The sequence below is a fragment of the Homo sapiens genome, chromosome 20 (genome assembly GCF_000001405.40).
Source record: "Homo sapiens chromosome 20, GRCh38.p14 Primary Assembly".
Classification (NCBI taxonomy): Eukaryota; Metazoa; Chordata; class Mammalia; order Primates; family Hominidae; genus Homo; species Homo sapiens.
The window spans coordinates 61,875,160-61,891,239 of NC_000020.11; the positions used below are offsets into that span (position 1 = coordinate 61,875,160).

At 57.8% G+C, this 16,080-nt stretch overlaps 1 protein-coding gene across 5 annotated transcripts in view, besides 2 other annotated features; it reads left to right on the forward strand.

The window, feature by feature from the left end:
• The window catches only part of CDH4 (cadherin 4), a 688,357-nt gene that overhangs the window by 622,899 nt on the left and 49,378 nt on the right, over positions 1 to 16,080 (forward strand). The window lies entirely within an intron of this gene.
• Positions 3,451 to 3,951: an enhancer, noted in NCBI's record as "H3K4me1 hESC enhancer chr20:60453666-60454166 (GRCh37/hg19 assembly coordinates)". NCBI's record gives its function as "activates a minimal SCP1, AML or CMV promoter by ChIP-STARR-seq in naive H9 embryonic stem cells {active_cell/tissue: H9 hESC(naive)}" and the evidence as "EXISTENCE:reporter gene assay evidence [ECO:0000049][PMID:30033119]".
• Positions 3,952 to 4,452: an enhancer, noted in NCBI's record as "H3K4me1 hESC enhancer chr20:60454167-60454667 (GRCh37/hg19 assembly coordinates)". NCBI's record gives its function as "activates a minimal SCP1, AML or CMV promoter by ChIP-STARR-seq in primed H9 embryonic stem cells {active_cell/tissue: H9 hESC(primed)}" and the evidence as "EXISTENCE:reporter gene assay evidence [ECO:0000049][PMID:30033119]".

Consider the following 16,080-nt stretch of genomic DNA (forward strand, 5'->3'; position numbering starts at 1 on the left):
ACTCACCTGCAGTGCTGTCTTCATCCCCGCCTTTCAAATCAACCAAAGCCAAGCTGCAGCCTGGAAAATCCCACCCGTCTCTGTCCCTGGGAAGAGCACAAAGGGGATTTCCTGGAAATTCCTAAATCGTAAGGGGGTGGTGCCCAGGGTAACACATGGGGGCAGAGAGGCCAGTTGGGGGGTAACCCTTGGCAGCCATGCGGCTTGCGGGGAAGGCGAGGTGGCCGCCGGGTTCAGCACGGGCTCAGGACTCAGACCCGCACAGCAGAGGACGTTGTCAGCCCCAGCCGTGGCACCTTTCATCTGAGAGACAGAAGGATGATGACAGCCTTGGACTCCAAGGATCAGAGATGGAGTCGTGTGGCAGGCAGCGTGAGGGCTGGCACGGATGGCACAGGCGAGGACTTTTGATGCAGGATTTACATAAACGTTCTTAGAGTGATGTTGGCCAGAATGCCTGGGGCTCCGAGTGAGCTGTGGTCAGTCCCAGCACCTTCACCTCAGGACTGCAGGATCCGCTGAGGCCCCACCGCCCTCCAGTGGCCATGAACCAGCGCCCGCTCCGCTCAGACAAGGCTTTGCAGATGAGCTGCACCTGGCCCTGGTCCCGTCATTCAGCTAGGGAGATGATCCCATGGGCACATGGCCGAGTCAGGAGTGCTGTTAGTGAGGCCCATACAGATGTACAGGAACCAGATACCGTCCCCCATCTCCTCTGTAGCCTGGGGTCCCCCGCCTGCCCTGGGGAGAGAGGGCAGCCCCTGTTTGCGCTCCCCCAACACACACACACACACACACCTGTGAGCAGCTCGTTTCCACAGGCTGGCACCTCTCTGGGACGTTTGCACAGCTTTTGGCAGAGCAGGTGGTCTGACTGGAGCGTGTGCGTGCAAGCCCCTGTCCACACACTCCCACACACGTGATGCTCCAGAGGTACAGATGGGATGGCACGGCTGCCGGCTGTGTCCAAGGAGAGGACAGGACAGCCGAGCAAGGGTCAGGCCTGTGAGCGCCGGCACCTCTGGGATGGCCCCTTGCAGGGGCAGGGTCAGGGGTTACCTAGAGCCCACAGACTGCCCCACCTGCGTGCCATCAGCTCCTGGTGTGTGACGGGGAAAGCACAGGGGCCAAAAGGGCAGTGGGGATGCTTAGGGAGATCCGATGGGGCCTCGCCGTCCAGTCCCAGTGCAGGGGCATGGCTGGCTGCATGCTGGCCGCAGGAAACCGTTCTCTCCCTACTCTATATCGGCCGCGAGAGAGCAACGTCCAATTGGAGAGGCAGCTGGTTCTACTGAGCGACCGGAGAACTGGGAAGGGGAAGGTGTGGGAGTTTCACGGGATTGGGTGCCTGCAGGGGAGGCATGCAGGCGTGCGGAGGGTTCTAGACGTGCAGACGCAGTCCATGAACACATCTCTTCTTACATCTGGTGTACAACATGGCAGCAGTCTTCCCTTAGGGCCGGGGTTTTCGTATTATAATGATAAGCTGGGGATCTAAAGGGGACCATAGGCCACCTGCTCTGGCCTGCACTGGTTTCGTGTCGGTCCGCCCTCCCTCTGGTTTCCAGTGGGGTTGAGGGGGTCCCTGTGGCTTCAGGACCATCTGGTCTCCTTCAGCACGAATGTCTATAGATAAAGGGACTAAAGACAAACAGCTAAAGCTTTCCCACTGCCGGGTGGAGGGCTGGGAGGTCTGGGGTACTTTGTAGTTTATATTGTAGGAAAGAATATGTGATATTTTCCAGGCTGAAAATATATCTAGGCAACATCTGTGGACCCCTCTTCATAGCTGAAAATCTCACAAGGCCCCGGCAGTTAGTATGGGTGCAGGCTCTGACCTTGGGAGGGATCAAGAGCGCCACGGAGCCCACGACCCCCTGGGGTTCCCCCAGCTGGCCTGGTGCACCCTACGGGAGGGACACCCCCTGGCCTCCCTGGGCCAGGCATTCCTGTGGGCATGTCAAGGCCCGTGATAGGGACAGTGCCCAGCCTCCTGGGCTCAGCTCCCCCTGCCCCTACAGATCATGGCAGCTCGGCCAAGGGAGGGCTAGCAGTCCCAGCCACCCAGAGATCTCCCCACCCACTGGCCAGGCCCCAGTGAGGCTGACCCGGCAGCTGGACCCCCTGCCCAGGCCAGACACCGAGGCAAGGCGGGGCCAGCCTGCTCCCCAAGGCCCACAGCAGACACAGAGCGGTACCCACCCCCCACCCCCCACCCCCCGCTGTCGGCAGCTTCAGCGTGGCCTGCAAAATGTTCCACATAAAATGCTCATTTAAAAGCCATTAGAGGTGTGGTTGACAGACGGAGATTTATGAAGATTGAGGAACATGAGGAGACGCTGGTGTTGCGGGCGCTGGCGTTCTCCGCTGTGTGTGCCTGGGGATGTGAACAGCCCGGCTTCTATCCGACGGGAGGCCCCGTCTGGTGCATCTCAGGCGTGGTGTGCTGGAGAGGGCGGTCCCGTGTCTTCCTCTTCCAGGGCTCGTCGGGAACATAGGTTGTGTGGTTATTTTCCTTGATGATCCTTCAGCTGCTAACATTCGATTCCAGGAAGATCAGTTTCTGTCTTGTGCGTGTGAAACAAGCTGGTTGATGCAGTGAAACCTGGGACCCCCATGTGGACCAGCATCGTGGGGGGACAGCAGAGCCATGGTTCAGGGGCTCAGGGGACGGTCATGGGGCTGGACTTTGGGGCCATGACCCCCGGAACGTCCCTGGGGTCCATTGTGTGACAACGCGTCTTTGGCTGGGAGGACCCCCAGGCAGGGGATGAGGTGTAACCCAAATGAGGCCCGGCCCCAAGCAGACTGTGACAGGGTCATCACCAGGAACCACGGGGGCCCCAGAGGGAGGACTTCGTGGACACAGACGGGCGTGGTCATCCCAGAGAGGACAACAGGCCCTGGCCTGCGTGAGTGGCCAGGAGCTGAGCTGTAGGCCTGGGGCAGCTGGGGCAAAGCTAAGGCCCCATCGTGGCCATGGCGTCCTCATTTCCAGCCACGATCAAAACAAGACCTTCATGGGCAGCACGTGCCCGGCAGCAGGACCCCTCCCACCTTCTGTTCCCCCTGCCCCTTTCAAACCGAGCCCAAGCCTAGGAACATCCAGGTCCCTGAGCTGCTCCCTCCCCAGGTTCAATGCAGCCCCCGGCTGGAAGGTGGCTGTGGGTCTTGAATCTGAGACAGACCCAGGCGTGGCCTGCAGCTGGCTCCATTTGGGTACAGAGACAGTGTTGGGCGCCCTCAGGGCTTCTCGTGAGCAGAACCAAAGGTGTTCATGTCATTTCCACGTTATTTTCCTTGTGCAAACAAGTCTGTTTCCCCTTCTAAAGGCACCAGCTCGAGGGCTTCCATTAGGGAAGCTGCCTCCAGCACGCAGCAGCCATGTCCCAGGGCCCCCGCCTGGCCCCAGGTCTTCAGCAGCCCCTCCCAGTGGGGACATTGAGGCGGGCTTCCCTCCCCAGACATGGAGAGGTCATCCCCTTGGGCCAGTCTCTGCAGCAGTTTATGGCATAGTCTCAAAGTCGTAGGTGACCTCTGAATTTGTGACCCCTTGGCCGGAGGAGACGCAGGGCCCTGGCATTGGCCACCCCACTCTGCCCGCTCAGCCATTCCAGGTCCTGTCTCCCGCCTTGCACACAGTCTCTCCCACTTTTTCGCCTTTGCCTCGGAATAGAAGTCCTGGAAGCTGCCAAAGACTCGGCGGGGGTGTGCCGAGGCCAGGGCGCCCCTCGCCAGGGCTCTGCTTTCAGTGTGGGTCTGTGCTTAATGTTCAGAGCTGCCCTGCTCTTCCTTCGCCCACCTCCTGGGGAAATTGAATGATGGTTTATAATTATAACCGCTTCTGCAGCAGAGGATGCACGTTGTCGGATTTTCAGCAGCAAACAATAAAACAACAACAGGTTTTAAGACAACGGCTCCAGGACCACCGTTGCCAGGCATTAGTAAACCCACGCAGGCGGCCACTGACAGCAGTGTAGACGCCAAGCGAGCACCAGTTCAGCTCCCCCGGGACCCGGCCTTCACCCAGCAGAGCCACTGCCCCCCTGGGCCCAGGCCTGCTGAGCCCGAGAAGCTGATTTCTGTCTGGCTTGGCGTATCAGAGAAGAGCACACATCGGGACCATTTCTCCACCAGCCCAGCTTGCCTTGCATCGGCCGGACAGCTCAGCCACTTCTGAAAAGGACACATCGGTAGTTCCTTTTTCTCTTCCTCCCCCTTTAAAAAGATTCATCTCCCCTGCCCTTGGGCAACAAGCAGAGTCTTCGGGGGAAGCACCAGAGATACTTCTCAGCACCAGCCTCCATCTGACAGAGTGAGTCATCTTTAGGAAGAAGAAAATCCACAAACATCATTGCCGCCGTGTCTAATTAGGCAGAGCTATGTAAATTGAGCGCTTCTACTTGATTAAGATGTCAGGAGAGGCTTCGATAAGACCTGAGCGGTTCAAGTGTCTCTCGTGTACCAGCCGAAGATGCCCCACTTGCTAATCCTATTCATCTGGCGTTGTTTCCTAATTAGAATATTTATGGCCTAATGAGGAGGTGAACGTGCCGCCCGAGCCCCGTCCTGAAGGTGAGAGTGGGCTCTGCAGACGCAGGCGCTGTTCCGATTGTTGGGCAGTGAAATTAGCACCGGGCCAGCATTGTTCTCAGCGTCCCTTCCAGGCTGCTCCCGAGGATGTTGATTTTGTTATTAGAAACTGAATCCGGCCTTCCGGTCCTATCACAAGAGGACTATCACCTGGTCACCTCCATCAGCTTGAAATTTCTTCCCAAACAAGGGGGGCCGAATTCGTGATCTCCTGGTCTGAAAGGATTCTGGGGAAAGCAAAACCCACACCTCCCCGAACGTCTTCAAGACCCTCTGCCCGCCCGGTGCTGTCATCCAATGGATGGAGAGTGATAACGTGGCTCTGTTCTACTGCTCAGGATATCGTTCTCACCACCATCGACTTTAGTTAATGTATTCACATGATTCAAATTCCAGTAGAAAGTGTTCGTCGGTGACCAGAATGTCCCCTTTCCCTCTGAGAGCGGCGTGGCTTTCTGAAGGCATTTCTCCCAGACAGCGAGCCTCTCGTAAGCCCCACCCAGAGGCATCTGCCTGGGGAGGGCAGTAGCCTGGGGCAGGCGGGGTTCAGCGTTTCCCGCTGGCTGGGTTTTGAATCACTGTCATGGAACCCTGTTTTGAAGACACCGAATATGGCTATGTTGTCTTGCAGAAAAAAAAATATTAGCAATTGAGACAAATCTGCTGCTGACCCACCTCGGGCCGGATTTGTGCCCCTGAAGTCTTCTTGATCTCCCCTCCGCCCCCTCCCAAAAGAAGAGAAGAGAGGGAAGGACAGCGGTGAGAAGGTGGACCCAGCCAAGGAGCCGTCATCTTGGGGCTTCCACCTCCCTCCGAAACAGAGGCCTCGGCTCCCGAGTCCCATGGCGTCCCCCAAGTGTGGGGCACTGAGCAGCCCCAAGAGGACCCCAGGCCAGCAGGTCACCCCCAGGACGCAGAGGCCGCCACCCCTGGCCTTGGGGGTGAGGGTCGGATGCAGAGAGAGGGTCGAGGTTTGGGCGCGGTCCCCACACAGGATGAGGTTCCCAGGCACGCTGGGCAGTGCGTGCTCTGAAGGTTGGGCCACACGTGAGCTGGCGCCCACCACTGCTGTCTCAAGGTTTCCAAAGGCCAGAGCTGGCAGGTGTGGCCACCCAGCAAGGTGAGAAGAGGTGCCAGTGAGTTAGAGTGAGGGCCCCCCAGGCCCCAGGAGGGCAATAACAGCGGTGCTAATGGTGACCTGGTTTCATGGGGGACCCTGGATGGCAGAGGAGGGGGCTGAGCCACAGGATGGCCCAGGTGACCCCCAACCAACTCAGGCCACTTCCTGCCAAGAGGTCCCTCCCTGGTGAGGAAGCTGAGTGCCCCTTACACCCACCAGCATGTAGGGTTCCTGCGGCCACAGGGCATGAGTGTCAGCCATGCTGAGCGGGGTCACAGCAGAGCAGGGTCAGGACAGCTCCTCCATCCACGGACGCCACTGGAGGATGAGCCTGCAGCCCCTGAGCAGTTCTCCCACCGTGGGGCCACGTGCACACGGGGTGATCTCCGTGCCTCAGGAAGCTGCGCTGCGAAGGGAGGGGAGACGATGGCCATGGAGTCTGAGAGGAGGCTCCATTCCAGCGGTGGCATTTCGTAACCAAAGTGCCAAGTGTGGTCCCGGGCAGGGCTGCAGGAGAGAGAAGCCGTGGCTGCGGAAGAAATAAACCATTTCATGGTGCAGCTCCCCAGCGAGCCGCTCCCGTGAGCCGGCCACAACATGAACCGTGGCCAGGATTACGGCCCCACCTGGCAGCAGCGGCCAAGACTCCCGCCTCAGAGCCTCCAGTGGTCAATTAGTCGACCGCTGTTCATCTGCCTTTGGAACTGGGCCCAGGCGGCTGGGGTCGTAGCTGGAGCAGAGGCCAACGTCTCCATCTGAGAAGGGCCAGCGCCAGGCAGAGGGCAGGAAGAGGAGGGGGCGGCACGTGGGGGACTGCAGGTGGGGAGGAGTGAGAACCCGTCACAGCCGGAAGTCCAGGTCCCCTGGGGGCCACTGGCCCAGCCACAGACCTGGCCCAATCAGCATCTGGACTGGGTTTAATCGTGGTCCCCAGAAAAGCTACATCCACACCCTGATCCCTGGCAGCGTGACCTTATCTGGAAAAGGGGCCTTTGCAGGTGTAAAGATCTGGAGATAAAATCGTCTGCATTGGGGTGGACCCTAAATCCTTACAGAGGCAGAGGGAGACACAGGGGAGAAGGCTGCATGGAGACCGAGGCAGAGACCAGACGATAAGGCTACAAGCCAAGGGTGCCTGGAGCCGCCAGGAGGTGGAAGAGGCAGGACAGGTCCTCCCTCAAGCCCCTGGATGGAGCCGGACCCTGCCCGCGCCTCCACCTCGAACCTCTGGCCTTCCGGACTGCTGTCTTTAAGCCACCTCATTTGACCAGACCCTGACAGGAAGCAGCCAGACCCAGTCCCTTTTGCCGAGAAGCCTGTGTCTGGCTTTGTGCTGAGGCTTTATTGGCACACAGCGTGGCTGACCATTTGCACGTGGGCGGTGCCACGCTCCAGGATGGCACCATGACGTGAAAGCCAGGTTACTTAGGAGGAAGGAGCGGGGATTTCATCTGTGCCCTCAGCGGCACGGCCCCTTTGGTGGTCAGATCCAGGGTCTCAAACCCAGAGACAGGTCCCACCACAGAGGTGCAGTTTGTATTAATCTTGTTTTAACTCGGTCAACATCGAAACGAGAGATTTCTATTCAAATCCCGCCTTCTGGATTCTCTCAAGATTCAGGACCTCTGGTCACGGGGCCTGCTTTCCTGCAAGGCACCAGGAGGCCTGGGCTAAGGGAGTGACCACCCAGGGCTCTGAAGCCCCTGGCCCGGGGGGTGCAGCCCCTCCCTCCCGGGGTTCCGACGCCAGGCCCAGGATGCTCCCTGAGTCACTGTGTGCGGCTGTTTTCCCTGCCGTAGAGAAATACTTCCTCTAGGTCTATCAAAAGTGAGAAAATGAAAGACAAAAAGGCCCGTGCGTCTCAGGAGAATGGGAGAGGGAACGTGTCTGCGGAAGGGCTGGATATTCCCGAGGGTTTCCCGGCACCCCAGGTGGCATGGGCCGCCCCAGCCCCCCGCCCCTTCCTATCTTCTGAGAAGTCACCCGGCCGGCCCCGCAGGTGCCTTTCCTTCTCTTTTATGTCCACTGTCTCCCCCACACCCGACGGAAGCCACTCAGACCACGGAGCACATGCCCCAGCCTCTGCGCATCTCCTGCTCTGTCCACGCCCAGAAGCCCAGTGATCCTGTTCAAACACCAATCTGAGCTCTTGTCTTTTCAAACCCCACCACGGTTTCCTGTCTCACCCAGAAATGAGAAATGAACCCGGCCCCATTCCCCCGGCACCCCAAGCCCACCCCGCCTGCCCCAGGGCCTTCTCGCTGGCTGCTCCCCCCGCCTACAGCATTCCTCCCGAGACCTCCACAGCTCGACAGCCACATGTCTGCCTGGCAAACAGCCCTGCCTGCCGCCCGGTTTAATGTAGTGCACTGAGTGCCCTGTCCCTCTCTCCTGCTGTGTTTTCTACACGGCCTCTGTCCCCAGCTGATATGATACTCTTTGCTATTTGCTGTCGGTCTCCTCCCCTAGAGCCATGCTTCCAACCTAGGGCGACGTCTTTCTTGGGACACTGGGCAAGTGGTGGTATCTGTGGTTGTCACAGCTCGGTGGGGGGCACCACCAGCATTGCATGGGTGGAGGCCAGGAATGCTCAGCACCCCTCAGTGCCCAGGACACCCCACAGCAGAGAACGACCCAGCCCCAGGGCTGACAGTGCCCAATTTGGGAAAAGCTTCCCCAGAGCATCAGCCACAGGAGGGCAAGGGCTCCAAGAGCCACTGGAACTTATGGCTCAGAAACCCCAGGCCACTGGAGAGCTCAGGCACGTGGCCCTCCACAGTCGGGTGTGACTGCCCGGCCCCTGGAGAGGGAAGTGTTCTCCTCTATGACCCAGGGGTGGGGGGCCAAGAGAGGCCCCAGGGAGGAGCCCCCAGCGCCTGCTGGACTGACGGGACCTCCCCTGCCTGCCTCCATCTTGTTCCTCCCAGACATCTAGACTCTTCTAATCACCAGCAGTCATTCCTGGCAGCTCCTCTTCCCTCTGTGCCCAGCAGAGAATGCGAGAGACAGAGAAACAGACGGACAGACAGAGAGAGGGGGAAGCAAGAGGGTCCCAGCATCCCCACCCCCCAACCCCCGTGTGGTGGGTTTTGTGGATTTAGGAAGCAGAGACTTTCTTTGTGGCCTCCCCTGCCCCCAACAGCAGGCCGAGGGAGGAATCGCTGCCTGGAACTGGGACTCGCTGCCTGGAACTGGGAAATGCTGGTGTTTTCTCTGGGTTTGATCCAGCTCAGCACAGCAGAAAGCAAACCTGGCTGTAGAGTGAGAGGGGAGGGTCTGCTGGAGTTGGGCTTGTGGGGCGCAGTGCAGAGGCTCTGGGCCACCAGTGAACACGGCCAGAGCTAGGGACACCGGAGGCCCCAAGGGGTCATAAAACCCACAAGAGCTGAGGCAGCTGCACGTCACTGTCCTGGCTGTGCAAAGGGCAGCTGAGCAGAAGGTTGAGTGAGACACGCTTCCTTCCACGCAGCAACCCGGACAGCTAAGGGGCCGGGTCCCTGGTTTTCAGCCCCTCATCCTGCAGGAGGCAAAGTCTGCGGAGCCAGAAGTGGTGAGGGAGAGACAGTGGCAGTGGACGGTCCACGAGTTTAAAGGGGTGAGCAGGGTGTTCAGGAGGGAGGGAGGGAAGATGGCACCCCTTGGGGCTCCCCGTGTGGCCGTGCCCCTGAGCAGGGGTGATCTCTCGGTGACAGCCTGGGGGCACCCAGCGAGGGGCTCCATGCTCAGCCCCTCCCCACCCCAGGCGAGGGAACCTCAGAAAGGAGCCCTCCGCACCCCCGGACCTGCATTTGAAGGCTGAAGGGCTGAGCACCTCACCTCGGGGGCGGCTGCTGCTAGTTCCTGGGTGCCCGGGAAATTCACCTGGACAGGTGGAATGTGCCACCCAGGCAGCACCTCCTCCCAGAACAGCAGCAGCCCCGAAGGGCTGAGGGGTTTGGAGGAAGGAGAGAGCCCTGGGGTGGGGGCGGGGAAGGCTTCCTGGAGAGGGACTCAGCCTGTAGCGGGAGGTGCGGGGTTGGGACACCGGCTGGAGCCCCGGGCTAAGAGTAGGCATAGGGTAGGCCCCAGGTCCCTTCAGCCTGGAGAGTCCCTTCTCTGATAGCCTAAGGGTCAGTCTGCAGGCCCAGCACAGAATCTGGCCAGAACGACTGCCAGCCAGAGGCAGCCCCCACCCCACCAGCTCGGTGATCCATGCTAGAGTGGACATAGGGTGCTGAGTCCCTCGGGCCCCTGCAAGGCAGCGGGGACTGAAGTCGACACATAGCACGTTCGTGCCTGTGCCTTGAGAGGGAGCTCACACGCCACCAAACACACCCTTTAACTGTACGCTTCAGCGGGGTTCAGTGGTCACAAGGTTGTGCAACCATCACCTTGACTTAGCTCCAGGACTCTTCCATCACCCCAGAACCATCCCATTTCTCCTCGACTCCCTTACCCCCAGCTCCCCCAGCCCCTGGCAGCCCCAAATCTTCTTTCTGCTTCTACGGATTTGCCTATTCTGGACATTTCCTGTAAGTGGGCTCCTTCCATGCATGGCGTTTCGTGTCTGGTGTCTCTCACCGAGCGTCACCGTGGTAGTTCGTGTCTGCGTTTCATGCCTCTTAATGGCTGAATAATATTCCGCTGCATGGGGCAACCACGTTCTCTTTGTCCATTCATCGCTCAATGGACCCTTGGCTGTTCGGCCCTTTTGGCTGCTGTTAATGGCGCTGCTTTGAACGAGGGCGTGTAAGTGTTTGTCAGAACCCCTGGTTTGAGCTCTTTTGGATACATACCCAGGAGCGGAGCTGCCAGGCCCCGTGGTGACTCTTGACTTGTGAGGACCCGCCAGCCTGTTTTCCGTGGTGCCTGCACTCCCTCCTCCCACAGCATCTAATCTTCATGCCGGAGTCACATTCTCAGGCTCCGGACAGACCCCAGGTGCTGTGCAGCCTGAGGATGAGACGGAGAGCAGGACCCAGATCTCTGTCTGCTCCATCTCGCAGCTTCCAAGGGGATGGAGGTTCCAGCAGTGACAGCAGGGAAGGCCCTTGGGGAGTGTGTGGTCCAGGAGGAAGCAGTGGGAACAGCGCTGACCTGAGAGGAGCTGGAGAAGCTCCCAGAGCAGCAGCCGCCGTCGTGCTGGGACTGGCTCTGGCTCACCCAGAAGGAAGGGATGCAGGGCATCTGCAAGCCTGGGCTACAGGGCCTTGGGACTCCTTTTATACCCCCATATGTACCGCCTCTAGGTGCAGAGAGCCCAGAGCAGGTGGGGGAGGCGTGCTTGCAGCCTGGCAGATGAGACCATCCCTAGATGGTGGCTGGGGTGGGGGCAGCATCCAGGAGAACTTCAGGATCTGAGTTCCAGGCGTGGCTCCTGCCAGGGTGCCTCACTGGCTGTGCAGCCGGCCAGCCGATGCTGGGTATGGCCAGGGCACGCTCGACTCAGGAAGCTTTGATGCCTTTCTAGGGCAGGCTGGCCGCCTGCATTATTGATGGCTGTTCTGCAAAATTTACATGCTGAGCTATGGGGAGGTGAGCAAAAACCCCAGGGATGGCCCACTGTGGTTTTCTTCCCTCCTCTTGAACTTGAAAATGGCCAAATCACTTTTTAATGAATTCTCTGCACCTGGCAGAAGCAGGAAGGGTAGGGGCCCCAGCCCAGGACAGGAGCATGCATCCAGCAGGGCACACCCAGCTGTGCAGGACTCCCGCTGCCCGCCCAGACACCTCCATCGAGGGTTGACGTGGGGAGCAGAGGCTGCACATGTCAGCTATGGAGAGAGGACGCTGGGACGCTGGTCCAGAGCTGAGTCCTGGGTCATCTGTTTGTCCTATGAGGGCTGGGAGACACTTGCTGGCCTCCAGAGCACTCACCAGCCCCTGACCTCAGGGAAGTCCCAGGCCTTCATCTTCTGCAAAGTGGGAGGGCGCCGTGCCCCTGTGCCACACGGGCCCTTGGAGGACTGCACACAGCGAGGCCTGTTGGGGCACCGGGAGGAGGTGCCAGACACTTCTGAGAACAGGGCCCTGCCCTGTGGTTAACGTGGGGCTCCCCTTGCCCGCCTCACAGGAATGAAATGCACTTGAGGGCAAAGGGAGCAGCCCAATGTAAGCCTTTTAGATAAATGTGTCGAAACCTCCAGCCAAGCCAGCCCAGGCCCGCTACATGCAGATCAGCCACGTCTGCAAGGAGGCCTGTTTGCAGGAGCTCCCATGACCGCCTCATGAGCACATGCCTGGGTCCTGCCCACCCACCCTCTCACCCCAGAGAACATCCCAGAAAAGGGGGAGATGGGCACAGTGATGAGGTCAGGAGCCTGACCCCACCTCCCCAGTGCTCCCAGGGGAGCCAGGCCAACCCTGCCTGGACTTCAGAAGCCCTGCCAACGGGAAGGCCACTGGCTGCTTCCGGGGGTCCCCTGGGAGAGTTCTTCCTTCCTGCGGGTCTAGCTTCCTGCCCCTACCCAGCCAGGAGACACCCCTGCCCTGCCTCTCGAAATCAAGACCCAGCTGCCCTCTAGTGGCAGTCAGCTGCACACACACACACACAACACGCATGCACATCCATGCACATGTGGGTTTACATGCATACAGAGGTGCACACATACACGTGTGTATACACGCACACACAGGCATGCACACTCGTGCACAAGCACGCATACACACATGCACACACACAATACACTGTACATGTCTCTGGGTTTCTACGATGCTTGATTTATTTTCAATATATAGAAAAGAATACATTTCTTTCCTATACATTGAAAGCACCACAGCCAGGGGTGGCTTCCATGAACCGGCTCTGATTGGATGACTGAAGAAATGGAGACTTGGAGAATGATGTCATGCCGCAAGTCTGTGACAGCAGTTTCTCTGCAGGCTGACATTCTTCTCCGCTTGGATCCCTCCCTTTCCTGCCGGCCCGTGTCAGTCTCCTGTTTTCCAGTCTGGTCCTTCTGGCGGTGCCATGCTGCGGGAGGAGGCAGCCACAGCCAAATAAACATGTAGCTGAGAGCAGCCTGGGGACCCTACGCTGCAGGATGGGTGGCCGAGGGGGGCCGGTGCAGGCAGGCAGTGGGGCACCTCCTGAGGGGGACATCACGCCCAGGAAAGAGGCTGCTGAGAGCCCCCTGCAGCTTCAATTTCCAAATCTGTCCTGGGAGGGGGAAGAAAATCGGATTTGTAAAGAACAAGAGAAACTTGGGTGAGAAATGAAGAGTGTCCACAGCGAGGCTGCCTGCTGCCCTGTCAGAAAACCTGATTCCGTTTCCTGGGGGAGCGGGGACTGAAGTGAGATGCAGCCACATCCCTGCAGAGCCGCCGCCACTGCCGGTACACACAGATGGGACATGGATGAAATGAGACTCCGCAGGCAGGATCCCGGCCCCTCACCAAGGTGGCATGGGTATCTGACATTTGGGTTCTCATTGGCAAGCCTGTCCACCGCTGCTGGCACCGTCCCCAGCCCATCTCTGCAGCCTCCTACCTAGAGGCAGAGCCAACCTTCAGGCTCCGTCCAGCCGCTGCAAGGGAGGGCCGGGTGCTCACAGGTGAAGGAGAACACAGCCAGGGTGGGGAAGCTTCCAGAGGTGGGCTGGCTGGTCTCTGCCTTGATGAACAGGAGGGCACATTTTCTTTCTGTTGGGATCCTGAGGCACAGAAACCTTGGGGAAGGGACCTCTGCTATGGGTAGTACCATGAAGTCCAAGGCCTCAGGCCCAGCGAATGTCTGGACACACATTGGTCCACAGTTAGAAGGCAGATCCTGACCCTGAGGTTGCCAAGAGCAGCCAGTCAAGGGTGGCGCCAGCTCTGCTGTTTCCATGATGTCCATCCCACATTCAGGAGACCCAGCGGGCATCGGGCTGATGTCACCATGGACATCATTGGTGCTGCCTGAGTCCCATCCATAACAAAGGCCTGAAGCGCAGACTGACACAGCATCAGGGACCCTGACCGGTCCCCTCGCTCTGCCCTGGTCAGCTGTGTAGAACTGGGGAGGTCATGGGACTGCCTGGCCCTCACTGGACTCAGTCTTCCCCTCCGTAAATGGTAAAGAAATATGAGCTCCACTGACCACGCAGTGTGACACCAGTCACTGAAATAGTGAACAGGAACATGCTTTTTTATTGTTCTCTCCCCATTGTTGGCTTTCTCCCCTCCCTCACGGCCTCTGCATTAGCCCCCAACAATGCCCTGTTCTGCACCATGCACCTCATACCTCCTGCCCCAGCCCTGCTGTGCCTGCAGCTCATGCTATCACTCCCTCCTCCCTCTAGTGAGCCCCCACCTTCCTTCCTCAACCAGCTCCCCTTGCACTTCCGTAGAAGCCTCTCTCACCTCCCTCAGTTTCCTTATCTCATGGATGGATGAGAGGACCTCAGCTTCCTTATTGGTTGGTTGTAATCCACCTGACATAAGGAGAGGTCTCTTTAAAGCATGGATGGATGGATGGATGGATGGATGGATGGATGGATGGATGGATGGGTGAGTGGATGGTGGATGATGGATGATGGATGGGTGGGTGGATGGTGGATGATGGATGAGGGATGGGTGGGTAGATGATGGGTGATAGATGAATGGATGATGCATGGATGGATGGATGGATGGATGGATAGATGATGGATGAGTGAGTGGATGATGGATGGATGATGGATGGATGGATGATGGATGAGTAAGTGGATGGTGGATGATGGATGATGGATGGGTAGATGGATCGATGATGAATGAGTTAGTGGATGGATGGATGATGGGTGGATAGATGATGGATGGATGGATGGATAGGTGGATGATGGATGGGTGGATGGATCAATGATGGATGAGTGAGTGGATAGTTGGATGATGGATGGATAGATGATGGATGGATGGACAGACAGATGGATGATGGATGGATGGATGGATGCATGGATGGATTATGCATGATGGATGGGTGAGTGGATGGTGGATGGTGGATGATGGATGGGTGGATGGATGGTTGGATGATGGATGGATAGATAATGGATGGATGGATAGATGGATGGTGGATGGGTGAGTGAATGGATGGATGGATAGATGATGGATGGGTAGATGGATCGATGATGGATGAGTGAGTGGATGGTTGGATGATGGATGGATGGATGATGGGTGGATGGATAGGTGGCTGATGGATGGGTGGATGGATCAATGATGGATGAGTGAGTGGATAGTTGGATGATGGATGGATAGATGATGGATGCATGGGTGGATGGATGGATGGATGGATGGATGCATGGATGGATTATGCATCATGGATGGGTGAGTGGATGGTGGATGGTAGATGATGGATGGGTGAATGGATGGTTGGATGATGGATGGATAGATGATGGATGGATAGATGGATGTTGGATGGGTGAGTGGATGGATGGATACATGATGGATGCATAGATGGATAATGGATGGGTAAGTAGATGGTGGATGATAGAAGGGTGGATGGATGGATGGATAGATGGATGATGGATGGGTGAGTGAATGGATGTATGGATAGATGGATAATGGATGGGTAAGCAGATGGTGGATGGTAGATGGGTGGATGGATGGATGGATGATGGATGGATAGATGACGGGTGGATGGATGGATGGATAAATGGATGATGGAAGGGTGAGTGGATGGATGGATGATGGATGCATGGGTGGATGATGGATGCTGGACAGGTGGATGGATGGATTATGAATGGATGGATGGGTGGATGATGCATGATGGATGTGCAGATGATGGATGGGTAAATGATGGATGGATGGATGGGTAAGGGGATGGGTAGACGGATGAGGGAGAAAGGAAGAAGGGGAGCAGGTAAGGGTTAACCTACTGTGAGAAAACTATCAAAGTAGGATATAGCACCCAAGTAAGTGTAAGCTATTTCTGGTTTTTTTTGTATCTCCTTGACTCCAAGTTCTATTCATCTTGGTAAATGTCAGCTCTGTTAGACACGACTCATTAACTTGGTTCCCTCAACAGACACCGATTACCTACTGTGTGCCAGGTCTGTATCTGGCACTTTGGACACAAAGCTGGACAAGACTCAGTCCTCATGGCACTCTGGGTCTTCCAGGAGAGTCCAGCCTACAGCAGATGTGGGCAGGGTTGTGGCTGTCCGGGTCACGCTGCACCTCCAGGGTTAATGAGAGAAGCAAAATCAATTCCAGAGACTTTAGGGGAGCTCATTTTGGAAGGAAGAGTGGGGTCTCACCAGCGGAAGGAGGGAGAGGGACAACACACCCGCAAGCACAGAGGGGCAGGGATAGGAGGTGTGGGGTGCACAGTGCAGACAGGGCGCCATGTGGGGCAAATGTTGGGGTAACGAGGGAGGGGAGAAAGCCAACAGTGGGAGAGAAATAATGAAAACCTGGTTTGGGCTGCACGTTCCTGT